General features: G+C 47.4%; 1 protein-coding gene across 7 annotated transcripts in view; it reads right to left on the reverse strand.

Moving 5' to 3' along the window:
• Positions 1-15,074, reverse strand: part of SMURF1 (SMAD specific E3 ubiquitin protein ligase 1) — a 116,669-nt gene that overhangs the window by 9,130 nt on the left and 92,465 nt on the right. For 5 of the 7 annotated variants that reach the window (XM_017012457.2, NM_020429.3, XM_047420637.1 and 2 more), the window contains 9 exons: positions 14,788-14,872; positions 14,346-14,423; positions 12,994-13,140; positions 11,115-11,313; positions 9,129-9,232; positions 5,549-5,663; positions 3,809-3,987; positions 1,819-1,956; positions 498-618 (listed from right to left, as the gene is read on the reverse strand). In XM_017012457.2, the coding sequence (XP_016867946.1) occupies positions 498-618; positions 1,819-1,956; positions 3,809-3,987; positions 5,549-5,663; positions 9,129-9,232; positions 11,115-11,313; positions 12,994-13,140; positions 14,346-14,423; positions 14,788-14,872 (1,166 nt within the window). The remainder of the gene's footprint in view (positions 1-497; positions 619-1,818; positions 1,957-3,808; positions 3,988-5,548; positions 5,664-9,128; positions 9,233-11,114; positions 11,314-12,993; positions 13,141-14,345; positions 14,424-14,787; positions 14,873-15,074) is intronic. The other 2 variants (NM_001199847.2, NM_181349.3) reach the window with 1 other exon arrangement.

Consider the following 15,074-nt stretch of genomic DNA (forward strand, 5'->3'; position numbering starts at 1 on the left):
AAAGACTTGGAGAACAATCTACACGGCTTGAGCTATTTGGCACCAGAGATGGATAAGGGCTGAATGAATCACCGTGTTCAAGTGCATGCAGTATGACTAGAGAAGACAGTAGCCCCTTGTTCCTAGGCTAGGAAGAGCCAGAATAAAAAGCAGTAAGATGCTCTTGTGGGAGAACCTGGTTCTCCCAAGACAGGAGAGGGCTATGCAATCTCCCCTGCTAGAGATCTTGCAAACAAGGGAAGCCACAGCCACCTTGAACAGTTTCCCGGGAGTTAGTCAGATTTCCTACCGCCAAGCAGACATCTCGCCGGTTACTAACTGGCATGAACACCCTCTACTCCCCACTCTTGCTCCAGCCCTGGCTCTAGTCTGGGAACCCCAGCAGCTCCTAGGCTTACTAGAAAGCGGCACACACTGCCCCCTGCAGCAAGGATTTAAAACAGGCAGACGCCAGCCACAGGGACGCCCTGGGTCGACTCCGCACAGCAGGCACATACCTCCAGTTCCTTCTGGTCAAAAGGCTTCAGCAGATGTTGAGGGATGAGCTCATTGAACCCCTTCTGCAGAGCTAAGAACTGGGCTTCGATTCCTCTCATAAACCTCCAGTTTACATACAACCTGGAAGAAAAACTCGCAAGTTGGATGCAACACCAAGTGGATTTTCCGCCATGGGCAGGTTTTTTTTGGAGACAGGGTCTCACTCTGTCACCCAGGCTGGAGTGCAATGGCTCAATCTCGGCTCACTGCAACCTCAGCCTCCTGGGTTCAAGCAATTCTTCTGCCTCACCCTCCCCAGTAGCTAGGATTACAGGCACCCACCACCACACCTGGCTAATTTTTGTATTTTTAGTGGAGATGGGGTTTCACCATGTTGGCCATGGCTGGTCTCGAGCTCCTGACCTCAGGTGATCCGCCCGCCTCGGTCTCCCAAAGTGTTGGGATTACAGGCATGAGCCACTGCGCCCGACCTGTGAGCAGGTTCTGATATCACAGTCTGACAAACATGGGAACACACTGAGCCCCCCACTCCCCGGATCTCTCCAAGACAGACAAACACACCACCAGCTAGTAGTACCAAACCTTGGCATCACGTTAAAAATGACTCAGCACGTGCCCTGATTCATTCCGATTTGCTCGCGAAAACAGGAGGATTGAACCTGATCTGTCACATCAATTGCTGCAATGTGAAAGCATGTTCTGGCCAGGCATGGCGGCTCACGCCTGCAATGCCAGCCCCTTGGGAGGCGGAAGCAAGAGGATTGCTTGAGGCCAGGGGTTCGAGACCAGCCTGGCAACATAGCAAGACCATGTAAAAATTTAAAAATTGTTTAAATGTGTAAAAGTACATTTGAAAGTACAGCACAGGACAGCGTGGCACACAGACGTGCCCACATAGTTCTCAGCTGCAAGTGCCTAGGCCGCAAGTGCCTAGGCCTGAACACAGATCTGCCTCAAGTTAGGGGTGGAAAAAAACTGAGAGGGTGGCTTCCTCGGACTGAGCACGAGAGACCCTCCAAGCTGCTGCTCTCTCCTTTGCCCCCCACCTTTGCACCCAGAATTAGGTGGTCACTGAAAAGTCCTTCCCCACATGGGCTCTGTCCCTCAGGCCAGGCCTGGCCCCATCAGGGCCCCTCCAAGCAGATCCCTGACGCTGCTGCTGAGCTGTCGGTTTCTGAAAGTCGCCTCTGTTCATGTGATCTGATCATAAGCACCAGCCATCAGGGACATGCAGGCCTCACACAGCGAAGGAGCTACAGCAACTAAATGCAGGCTCAGCCGCGCCCCAGGCACCTGGCCGTCCCCGACAGGTGGCATTACCGGACGTATTCTTTCTTATTCTCCTCTGTGACTGGCACATTTCTGCCATTGGGTTTCAGTTCATGCTGCAGGATCCGCCCGAAGGCGTTGTGTTCCACGCAGAAGGTGTGGTCCAGTACAGGCGTGATGTCGTTCTCTCTGTTGAAATAAGACAGAAGGATGTAGGTTAGAACTCTGCCACCACGCGGGGCCATTGGGTAGACAGAAAACATTTACGACTGCCAAACCCGGGGCTGCAAGACAGGACAGCCTCGGGCAGACACAGAACCTGCGTGGGGGTGGCACAGCAACAGGTGCTGGAGGACCCTGAGACCACAGCTCTGTTTCCAGATGTCCCGGCTCCTGGCTTCCACAGTCATAGAAGGCGGGCAGCAGGTTGCTGTACCATCCTGTGATTTCAGGGGACCCACAACCCAGCTGCTTTGTAAGCAGTGTGGGAGTCAAAAGGCAGGAACGTGAAGAGGTACCAGGGTCAAAGGGAAATTGACCTGGAGATGAAGCCATGCCAAGAAAATACTGTGCCTGGCCAGGTACAGCGGCTTACACCTGTAATCCCAGCACTTTGGGATACCGAGGCGGGTGGATTACGAGGTCAGGAGATTGAGACCAGCCTGGCCAACATGGTGAAACCCCATCTCTACTAAAAACACAAAAAATTAGCCAGGTGTGGTGGCAGGCGCCTGTAGTCCCAGCTACTCAGGAAGCTGAGGCAGGAGAATTGCTTGAACCTGGGAGGTGGAGGTTGCGTTGAGCCGATAATTGAGCCACTGCACTCGAGCCTGGGTGACAGAGCAAGACTCTGTCTCAAAAAAAAAAAAAAAAAAAAAAAAAAATACTGTTCCTCCCTTAGAGGCAGCCTTCCCAAAGGCATCAGTTCAAACACAAAAGTACTCGAAAGTGAAAACTAGCTCTTGAATCTGCCATCGTTCTTGAGCCTAGGCAGAGTGGAAGATTTTCTTTTTCTTTCTTTTTTTTTGAGACAGAGACTCACTCTGTCATCCAGGCTGGAGTGCAGTGGTGTGGTCTCAGCTCACTGCAACCTCTGCCTCCTGGGTTGAAGCAATTTTCCTGCCTCAGCCTCCTGAGTAGCTGGGATTACAGGCATGTGCCACACCTGGCTTTTTAAAATTTTTTTAATTTTAGTAGGGACGGGATTTCACCATGTTGGCCAGGTTGGTCTCAAACTCCAACCTTTGACCTCAAGTGAAAAGAGCAAGTGATCCACCCACCTCGGCCCCACAAAGTGCTGGGATAATAGGCATGAGCCACCGCACCCAGCTGAGTGGAAGATTTTCTACCTGATCCCCAGAGTCCCCTGTTCAAGTTGGAACATGTGACACATGGGACACAACCAGGAGCCCCGACTCCGACTCACCCACATTCCCTCCATCTGTCAGAGCCTGATGTTTTGTCCCCGTGAAATCTGCAAGGACCCGTGATAGTCACGGTTCATCTTGTCACTGCCTGCTGCTCTTAACAGAGTGTTTAGAATAATTCTAAAGCAGAGGTAACTAAATGTTAATTTTGTTTTGATACTTGCTTGGCCCCTGTGTAGGTTAACTGGAGATGCCCTGAGTGTCTCACACACACCCCACAACGGGCCTGGGGAGTGGCCTGTTAACGTCTGTGATCGCGCCTTCTTCATTCAAGGAAACAAAAGAAACTAGTCCATGAAGAGAAACCTGCCCAACATCATGAGGAAAATAAGTCAACTGAGTACTTTTTGCTAGATCTGGTGGGTTTTTTTGTATTTTTTTGCAGTAACGGGGTCTCACTGTGTTGCCCAGGCTGGTGTCGAACTCCTGGACTGAATTGATCTGCCCGCCTCCGCCTTCCAAAAAATCCCCTTTTTTTGTTTCAGGTTATAATACAATGGCTTCACACACATCCCCAAAATACACACACACGCGCGCGCGCGCGCACGCGCATACATACGATAGACGTGGTGGTGGGCCCTAAGCCAGGTGACCGGCCGTCAGTCAATACTTACAGGATCCACACCAAGCTCTTATGCAGCTCTGGGTCCACAGATTCCAGATCTGAGAGCTGGATGGGCTTCCCCAGCAGCTGCTTGTAGAAGGGCACTGTGAAGCCCCCGTTGATGTAGTGTCCATGGAACACAGCCAGCCCCATGATCCGCCCCACAAAGTGGAAATAAGACAAGTGGTCCTGTAGGGGGCACCAGAGAACACGAATTTGTCAGCATGGTGCCGGCCAATGTGGGAATCTCGTGCTGTCCCCAAGCTTCTTGGGAAAAGTGTCCCAGAGGCAACCAGACCTACTGACTCAGGGACTCACAGGCCCCGCTCCTGAACAAGTGAAAGAAGGCTGCTTGTGTAGCAGAAATTTGCCTAGATTCGCTGGACAGCGTTTTGTATGCTCTCAGGGCCAACACCTCCTCAGAAGGGCCATATAACTGGCAGAGGAGCCCCGTGTTCAGCAATGACTGAGAATTTCACCTTCGTGACAACAGAGAATCGAACCAAGCCCAGGGCCTTGACACTGCAGGGCCTCGGCACCATGCTGGACGCGCACCCAGGAAGCCAGCCCTGTGCTTCCTCCCACTGCACAGGAAAGAAAAGGGCAAGTTCCCTTCCTCCTCCACCACCACTCCCTCGATCCAGAACGAAAGGAAGAGAGGGAAAGAGAGGGAGGGAGGGAAGAAATGCTAAGGGGGAGAAAAAGACCACAGGAAAATATGTATGAGTAAGCCAAATCAAATAACAATCCTAGGCCGGGCATGGTTGCTCACGCCTGTAATCTCAACACTTTGGGAGGCTGAGGCAGGCAGATCACCTGAGGTCAGGAGTTCGAGACCAGCCTGGCCAACATGGCAAAACCCCATCTCTACTAAAAATACAAAAACTAGCTGGGCCTGGTGGCAGGGGTCTGTGATCCCAGCTACTCGGGAGGCTGAGGCAGGAGAATCGCTTGAACCTGGGAGGCAGAGGTTGCAGTGAGCAGAGATCATGCCACTGCACTCCAGCCTGGGGGACACAGCGAGACTCTCTCTCAAAAAAAAGAAAAGAACCATTCTAGAACCAGAGCCGTTCTGGTCTTAACTCAGGAACCACACGTCTCTACTTTCAGGTTTGAATTATGTTCACCTCAAAAAATGAATCAAAACTCTGCTTCCATGTTGGTAAAAGGTTCTTCCACATTTGAATGCACAAGCGGAGCCTGTCCCGACTTCGCCTCAGTGGCCTGTGCAGGACGCTGGTGAAGGCCGTGGTGCCACAGGAGGAGTCCCCTGCTGGCCGGCTGCCCACCCTTGAGCTGGGCGTGCAAACACTGCACTGACTTCTTCATCTCTAAAACCAGCACGCTAAGGGTGGCAGCATTTGTGGCTTAAAAAGCTAGTTCTGGAAAGATTCCAGTTTTGACCGGGAGGAGGCTGGACTTCGGAACCTACTCCTTAGAATGACACCATTAACACATACGATCATCACACCAGAGTTCCCTCAAATGATCACAAAGTGTGAGTGTATGAACAGCTCAGTTTCACCCTTCATCTCCTTCAACACAGCACACCCAGTGATCACGATCTCTGAAAATACAGGATTGGAATCATCCATCTTAATTCAGTTTTCACTTTACCTCTCCATGTTTTGCTTACCACTGTCTTTGATTAAGTCTACAACAAATAGACCAAGGACTGAGAATGAAACTGAAAATCCATCTCAAAACTTCTCCAACTCAATTCCCTACCTCTTTGTTCATTCATACTTACGGGGTTGATTGAAGAATCCGGATTTATTTGCAACATGTAAATATTGTCCGTAGAATACTGGAAGAGCCCGTAATAAGGATTCAGCATTTCATGGCACAGCAAGTAAAGCCACTCCCTGGGAGCAAACAACAAAAATGCATTTGAGACGCGCTAAAATTTCTACATTTTTTTTTTTTCCCTGAGATGGAGTCTCACTCTGTCGCCCAGGCTGGAGTGCAGTGGCATGATCTTGGCTCACTGCAACCTCTGCCTTCCTGGTCCAAGTGATTTTCCTGCCTCCCGAGTAGCTGGCACTACAGGCATGCGCCACCAGGCCCGGCTATTTTCTGGATTTTTTAGTAGAGACAGGGTTTCACCATGTTGGCCAGGGTGGCCTCGAACTCCTGACCTCAAATGATCCACCCATCTCGGCCTCCCAAAGTGCCAGGATTACAGGCGTGAGCCACCACGCTCAGCCTAAGTTGTTATTTTCTGAATTTCTTTAATGTTTGCATCATTTTATTATTTTAAAAACCCCAAAGTTAAAAACAGTCAAGCCAAAAAAAAGGCACTTTAAATAGAAATTGTATGGTTCAGTGGCTACACTCAGGTTGCATTAAGCCCAGCCCTTAGACAAACACCTGTGGCAGATCTACGAAGAGTCTTCTATTCATTCTGCTCAAAACTCCTTTTCAACGGATCGCATTAAGATAGCAGCTCCAAATTTTATTCTGGAATTTCTTACTTTTTCAAACAGAAATGAGAGCGAATAGGGAAGGACAGACACAAATGCAGATAATCTGTCCAAGAAAATCGTGAGAATACACAAAAAATATCAAACAAAAACAGTTCTTCATTGTACTCAAAAGAACAGAAAGGAACTGCCAGAAGAGATGAGACTCCGAATCCTATAAAGTCTCTTTTTACTACAAAGGCAACATTGCTGAATTTGAATTCATCCCAAGTTTTGGAGTTTCAATTTAGGAAGAACCTTTTTTGAAAAAGACAAAGACCTCCAGTTGTCTAGACAGGAAGTGATTAAAATACAAGCAAACATTCCGACCGAGCCATGGACAGCGTAAAGATACAATCAGTTCTGTTCTGGAAGTGGTAAGGGAAGCAATAACTAAACAGGCCAAAAAGAGAGGCTACAGAAAGGACTTCAGGACTAAATACTGGGGAGATAAGTGTAGCCTAACTCCCACAGATCGGATAATGAACACACACCTGCACATGTGTAATACACATGCAACTGAAATCTCTCCACCGTTCTCTAAGTATCATCCCATTAGGAGGAAGACTCCAGTGGTGAAATAACACTACAAGACCAAACTGGAGGTGGCAGAGCAGAGATTCCCAACTCTTTCCACTACAGCATCATGTCAGTCAAGGGAAATTCACAACGACCCATCTCCACGCAGAAGACTGGATGACTACGGAAAACGCAGAAGGAATGTAACTCCTACCAGACCAAACCAGGGAGTCCGACAGCTGAGTAACAGGCATTTCAGAATGACCAAAGAAAGAAAATGTGCGAAGAAATTAACAAAAAGTAAAATTCATTCATTTGGCACATATTTACAGAGACAAGTGTTCCGCTGTGTGTTAGGTGCTGTTCTAGGAACCGGGGATCAGCTGTGAACAAGACAAGTTCCTGACTGCATGTAGTTTGACTCTCTTGGAAGATGCAGATGAGAAAGAGAAACATCACACCACACAACCATGCGGTGGTCACAGCATGACAAGGGAGGACGCCAAGAAAGGGGAAGCTATGGGACGCCCAGGACAATGGACCTCACCCAGGGAAGCAGTGAAGTCTCAGGACAACCACGGCACAGAGGAGCAAGAGAATCGCCATCAGGCTGCACAGAGGCCTTGCAGGAGACACGGGGGCTGTCAGAAGGTATGATGTGTAACCATCCTGGAGGACTTGAAGTTCAAGGGGCAGTAGAGACAGTGAAAGCTACTGGGGAGGGAAGCCAAGGCGGGAGGATCACCTGAGGTCAGTAGTTCAACACCCACCTGGCCACCATGGTGAAACCCCATCTCTACTAAAAATATAAAAATTAGCTGGACATGGTGACTCGCACCTGTAATCCCAGCTACTCAGGGGGCTGAGGCATGAGAATCACTTGAACCTGGGAGGTGGAGGTAGCAGTGAGCCGAGATCCAGCCAGTGGACTCCAGCCTGGGCCATAGAGTGAGATGCTGTCTCCAGAAAAAAAAGGGAAGAAGAAATTCTTGGAAAAATTAGAATTTGTTCCAAAAAGTTAAATTCTAGAATACTATTTAAACCCTTAATGGACAATATTTTCATTCATAATAATGTAAACCGTATAAACTTTCATCCCTTTACAAATAATTGGTAGACAAGCATAGGAGACTGACCAAATTTTGGTTACAGAAGAGAATGTAAATCTTAACCTTGACAACATAAAAGTAATATTACAGATGACAGAATTTAAGAGGCAGAAGGAATGCTGAAGAGAAAGTTGTAAGTATGAATATCCTGTTCTTATGCAAATGAGAGGTCCAGAGATCATGTCTCTAGTTGATACATCAAAAAAATAAAGGTGAAAGCACAGGACATAAAGTTACAAATGATGGAAGAACTAAAAAGATCCATATTACTAAATTGAACATGAGAGTAACTAGAGTCAGTCTATCTTATGTATATGCCCATAAATCATTAAATCCGGAAATAACAAGATACCTATTCAAAGAAAAGAGCTAAAAGAGTTAAGAAGCAGTTGTCTTAGCCAAGCACAGCGGTTCACACCTGCAATCTCAGCACTTTGGGAGGCCAAGATGGGAGAGTGGCTTGAGCCCAGGAGTTTGAGACCAGCCTGGGCAACATAGTAAGACCTCATCTCTACAAAAAACTTTTTAAAAATTAGCCAGGCCTGGTGGCACACACCTGTAGTTCCAGCTACTTGGGAGGCTGAGGTAGGAGGATCGCTTGAGCCCAGGAGGTTGAGGCTGCAGTGAGCTATGATTGTGCCACTGCACTCCAGCCTGGGCAACAGAGCAAGACCCCGTCTCAAAAAAGACCAAAAAAAAAAAATTGTCTTGAAGCTGAAAAGAAGCAGGACATGAAATAGCAGTTTTTCATCATTCTATTCTGTTTTTTAATATCATTTTCTTGAATTATTTTGACCAAAATTTTAACATTTTACAAAATTCCTTTGACACAAATGCAATTTACATGCACAAATGCAATCCCTGCCCTGCTCCCTGCAGCAAATCCTCTACAGAGGAGAGCAAGGCTGCCTCCTGTGTTAAATTTCAGGAGCATGCTCCTCATGTTTCAAAAGAAGGGAGTGAATTTAAAAGTTTAATTCTAGCTTTACAAGAAGTCAATTAGTGGTGACAATCACGGATATTCTGGTAGGTTATGGCAAGAGGCTGGCACGAGCATGCTCGGAGGAATTCCTATTCTCCGCAGGGTGGCTGAAGCCAGTGCATGATGGCCCGACTGCTCCAAGGAGACATCAGCCCTGCCCAGGAGTGCTTGGTGATGAGCACTGGAGAAGGGCAAATGACTTCTCTTGAAAAGACTGAGATCCACACAGCAGAGAAGGTGAATGAACAAGCAGCTCACCTGGCCACACCACCGTAATCCAAACCTTCTTCCCCACGGAATTTCACCATCAGCCGTTTTTTCAAGTCTTTCGGTCGCATCTTCATTATCTGGCGGTAAGACTCCTGAAGAGCAACATCACAGTTTCAGAGAGAAGAACATTCTTATTCTTAAAGTTATGAAAGGTCATTGATAATGGAGCCCGGTTAAGAACACGCATCCATTCCAATTCAAGTTTTATCTGGCTCCTCATCAGAATGTTTCTTCGGCATCTAGTATATTCCATCATCTTTTTTCTCAGTTTCTCCCTCTGAGACAACAACAAAACAAACACGATGCCAGGAAACACTAACCTTCAGGGAAACACGTGTCTGTTTTCAGTGAATCACCAAGGACTTAAGGACAAAACTCACTAGGGTTGATTCTTCTCTGTATAAATTAATTTCAATGCACACTATAAACAACTTGTGCATCGCAACCAAAATCAAGACATTAGAAAGTCTGAATGCTAAGAGAGTTCTGAGCCTCTCTTTATATCTAAAGTGAAAAATCACATTTGATTTCCCACTGAGTCAAAAGGCAAAAAGATTTTAAGTAAGACATAAGGTGGCTTAAGCACAGCACAGAACACATGTGATCAGCCTGCTATTCCCTCACACTCAGCACTTGAAGCAGAAGCCGCTACGTGTTTATAGATGTAGATTCAGTAACGAGGCACTTAAGAAATTTTTCGTGCTTTAAATTTAACGCAATTCAAACTCCAGCAACCCAGCCGGGCGCGGTGGCTCCGCCTGTAATCCCAGTACTTTGGGAGGCCAAAGTGAGCGGATCACTTGAGGTCAGAAGTTCAAGACCAGCCTGGCCAACATGGTGAAACCCCCCCATCTCTACTAAAAATACAAAAAATTAGCTGGGCCTGGTGGCGGGCGCCTGTAATCCCAGCTACACGGGAGGCTGAGACAGGAGAATCGCTTGAACCTGGGAGTCAGAGGTTGCAGTGAGCCGAGATCATGCCGCTGCACTCCAGCCTGGGCAACAGTGCAAGACTCCGTCTCAAAAAAAAAAAAAAAAAAAAAAACCCAAACAAATAAACTCTGGCAACCCAAGAGGGAAAGAGGAAACGAGCTGGTAGTGAAGTCAGTACTTCAGCGCTTTTCTAGCCCTGCAACAAGGGCATACATGCAGCAGGCAGGGCTGGGCGCTGTGGCCAAGCTGCCCATCCAACACTCAGGCCCAGCCCTCGCGGTGGGGAAGGCGCTCAGCTCCCTCGGCCCCCCAGTGCTCCCTTAGTGCTGTCACCCAGGGAGAATCTGTGCTCAGTCTCCTTTGATCATTTCTGACAGTGTCTCCACAAAGGAGGGCAGGAAATGGCCCAAATGCCATGGAGATTTTCCTGTATGGTCAGCTTTCTTGGGAAAAGGGCCTGGTCTGTTTAGGGACCTGCTCCTGCAGGAAGCTGTGTAAGGGACAGAGCCTGTCCCAAGAGCCACCTGCTCCTCGCCAATTTCCACAGGAGAAGCAGGATGGCCCCCAGCCCCTGAGCTGCCCTGAGAAGGAGAGCCCTCAGATGACATCTCATACAAGAAGAGAGGAGGGAGACTACCTGGCTCTGGGGAAAGCGCAGATTGCAGATTGCAGGAATATTTAACCCACATCATGTAGACAAGGCGGTTCCCACTATTTTTTAGTGCTAGTTTCTGTATACACCTCTAGGTTTTCACCTAGAGGTGAAACTATTTAGTTTTTCCATTTTTACCATAAGAGGAAATGAATACCATTCCCTCCCTCTAGACAGGCTGTGGTCCTGACAAACTCTGCACTTCCCTTAGTAATAAAATCAATACCTCAAATACCAAACAGAAAGAAGGGTTCCCTGAAACGCAGACATCACCCACAAAGCAGTTCATTTAAAGCAGCCCTTGAAAACAATCGCATTTGAGATTCCTTTGTCTGAATTGCCTTATTTGTTTCTGAACAGGGTCTGGGCAGTGGCCCTGAACTCTCTACCTCAAAGATTTCTTCTCTGGACACTTCGATGCGGCAATGACCAGCTTGGGGCTGCTGAAGCGACAGTTCGTGTCTGAGGACTTTCAGCTTCTGGACTAGATCTCTTTCGTATCTCTGGGCAGGAAGCTCCTCGTCCTCCAGAGAGCCCTCACTGGGCAGTGGCAGCGGCTGGCTGGGCTCCTTGAGTTGGCACTGGTGACTTGAGAAGAAGAGATGCAGAAAGTCACTCCGAAGCCCCGGCCAGGGGAGCTGCAAGCACCCACGTACGCGACAGGGTCAGAGGAGAGAGCTAGCTGCACACAACTTCAGGGAGAATTTGTTTCCCTGATGACGTAACCAGGTACCTAGCTAGCTGTGTCAAACTTGCTGATGGCCACATTAGCCTAAATGTATGTCTACAGTACCATAAAGGAGGTACCCCAGGCCGGGCGTGGTGGCTCAAGCCTGTAATCCCAGCACTTTGGGAGGCTGAGGTGGGTGGATCACCTGAGGTCAGGAGTTCGAGACCAGCCTGGACAACATGGTGAAACCCGGTCTCTACTAAAAATACAAAAAATTAGCCAGGTGTGGTGGTGGGCACTTATAATCCCAGCTACTCAGGAGGCTGAGACAGGGAAATCGCTTGAACCCGGGAGGCAGAGGTTGCAGTGAGCTGAGATTGCGCCACTGCCCTCCAGCCTGGGTGACAGAGCCAGACTCTCTCTCTCAAAAAAAAGGAGGTACCACAATTCCAAGCAAACACTTATCTCACACATTACCACCACAAATAAAAATGGAAATGGCTGTCATTTATTATGCATCTATTACGCACCCATGAGATGAACCAAAGCATCATCAGATGCACCTTGGCAGTTAGAATGAAATGGAGATGATGGGAAAAAATTTTAAAGGAGGTAACAGTGGAGAACTCAAATGAAATCTCATGATAGGCACAACAGCAGACCGCTCGAGTGAAATCTAATGAAAACCATCCCTCATTTTTACCGCCAAGAGATTTCTACACCTGCTCATTGAGAGCAAAATTTCAGTAAAAGGAGTAGGATTAGTACGGTGACAAAGTGGCATTTGTCCTGTTCAAGTTTTGCCACTGAGACACAGAGCTGTCGGTTAAAAGAGCTATGTCGGGGGCAGGCGCAGTGGCTCATGCCTATAATCCCAGCACTTCGGGAGGCCAAGGCAGGCGGATCACCCGCAGTCAGGAATTTGGGACCAGCCTGGCCAACATGGCAAAATCCCATCTCTACTAAAAATACAATAATTAGCTGGGCATGGTGGCGGGCGCCTGTAATCCCAGCTACTCAGGAGGCTGAGGCAGGAGAATCACTTGAACCCAGGAGGTGGAGGGTGCAGTGAGCAGAGATTGTGCCACTGCACTCCAGCCTGGGTGACAGAGCTGGACTCTGTCTCAAAAAAAAAAAAAAAAAGAGCTATGTGGAATGTTTGGCTCTGAGAACACGACAGGCCTGGAACACTAAATATGGGATCCAAGATAATTCCCAGTTCCAAGGTATCCAGTTCCCCACCGTGCAGGCACTAGGGGGATAGCACGTATCTCTACTTCTCAACCTAAGGGCCACGTGTCTCATGAGAGCGCTGCGTGCGGAAACTTCCTTCGTGCAGCCGCCTAATACTGCCATCTCGGTAAATTTTATGTAGGCTGCAAGTAAGAAAAGGGTAGCAACAACATAGGGCTTCAGTGCTCTTCACAGCTAATTTAAGAGTTTAAAATATGCAATTATCCGCCAGATATTTAACATCATTTTGACCATGCTTATTATCCAACCAGCAAGACAGTCAATAAATTCACAAAAATACCAGTCCAAGAAAGCATTCGATTACCAATGAAAGAGGTCAGCAAAAAATATTTTTAAAGTCTTACTTCATGATGTGGTGTAACCTTGGGTCTGTAAACTGGGTTGTTCGGTTATTATGATCTACAAAATATATCCTCCCAGAAACTGTACTTCTGACTTCCCAGCCTGGCGGCAGTGGTCCAAGTTCATCACAGTTCACACTGTTAAGGTCTCTACCAAAATGGAAGATACAGAGAGGTTTGTCCAACTGAGTATGGAGGAATGAGACCAAAAGTCAGCAACAGAAGCCACAGAGGTTCCTTATCAAGGTGTCTGTGTCCCAGCTCTGCTAAGATGGACCTTCGTGGTGCTACTTACGCCAAACCTCTACTCAGTCCAGGCCTCTCTGCTGCAAACAGCAGCAACATCCGAGAGATTTAAAACCAAACTTTCAGGCTGGGCGCGGTAGCTCACGCCTGTAATCCCAGCACTCTGGGAGGCAAGTGAATCACCTGAGGTCAGGAATTCGAGACCAGCCTGGCCAACATGATGAAACCCTGTCTCTACTAATAATACAAAAATTAGTTGGGTGTGGTGGTGGGTGCCTGTAATCTCAGCTACTTGGGAGGCTGAGACAGGAGAATTGCTTGAACCTGGGAGGCGGAGGTTGCAGTGAGCCGAGATCACGCCATTGCACTCCAGCCTGGGCAACAAGAGTGAAATTCCATCTCCAAAAAAAAAAATAGGCAGTTTCAGAGCTTATAACCATGATAAGGAACAGGGGCTCCCCACGGCATATCATTTCTTATATGAAAGAAGGCCCTAATAGTAGGAAGTATCTTAGTGCTGTCAGAAAACTATCTGAATTCACAAGTGTCATTAAATGTTCCCGGCCAGAAGGGTTTCTTCATTGGAAAGTTCCCAGACAGCACCAAGCTTTTCAGGGCTAAGGGAGGTACAGGAACATGCGTTCAGAAACTCGCAATTCTAAACAGTTGCAGCAGGACGAGGCATTCTCATTTTCAAATGGGCTTTTTGCTCAACAAGTATTTTCCACTCTAAGAATGATTAATTATTCTCCTGATTAATAATTTCAACACAATCTACAGTCAGAAGGGAGCACAGCTTTACTGACCAAGATGTGTTTCTAATTAACACAAAAGCCTGTCATTTCTAACAGGGGGTACAAAAGAGACACCTCATTCATTTGCAGGTAATATATTTCCAGTCTCATTATAGGTACTGAGTCATACATTAAACATAGTCTTGGAAAATCAGACAGGAAGTTTATTCTCAGATGAAACAAATCATGAATAAAAAGGAACTAAATATTACCAAAAATCATATTAGGTAGTAATGCTATTCTAAAAGGAAATAAAAAGCAAAAGAAAAAAAGAAACTTAACTCTGTTATGGGGTGGGGGGGGGGTCTCTCTAACCTGGGCTCAGATGTATGGCCTTGTAGAAGGAATTCGTATAGAAAAGCTGCATCTCCCCCAGGAATGGTCCCCGAGGGACTGAGGCAATGGGGACAGTAAAGTAGAAGAGAGAAAGGGTAACAGAGTCTTTATATTTCCTTGACTTATGATGGAAAATTTTAAGCATATAAAAAAGTTAGTGATCATAAGGAATTGCTGTGTAACCAACTTCAACAATGATCATGGTCAACCTTGTTTCAAAGGTCAACAATGACTCACGTTTCAAATGTACCCCTGTCTACTCCCCCCACCCCAGCTTATCTGAAGGAAATCCCAGACATCAATATCATCTCATTCATCACTATTTTTAGTTTAAAACAAGAGCAACACATCTGGAAGGTATTGGCTTTTCAAGTCAACTGCTGGAAAGACAGCTGGGGGGTGTCCATTTCAGGAGGCTTACCTTGGTATCCTGGGGTCGTGCCACGTGCTAACTCCAGTCTGTGTATGCAAAAAGTAAACTTGGCCCTGGACTGTTGTTCTTTGTTCTACACAAGAAATTAGAGATCCAAATGAGACAAGTTCAATTCCAGGGAGAGTTTGTAACCAACCCTCGATGCCCTCACGTCTGGTATTATCTAAATCTAGATAACACTCCCCTCTTATCCCAGTTCTTCTCTCTGAGGTGGCCGAATAATCCCCTCTTCTCCATCTCGCCCCATGCTCTCCTTTCCAGAGCACTACAGACAC

This window comes from Homo sapiens, chromosome 7 (genome assembly GCF_000001405.40).
Source record: "Homo sapiens chromosome 7, GRCh38.p14 Primary Assembly".
Lineage (NCBI taxonomy): Eukaryota > Metazoa > Chordata > Mammalia > Primates > Hominidae > Homo > Homo sapiens.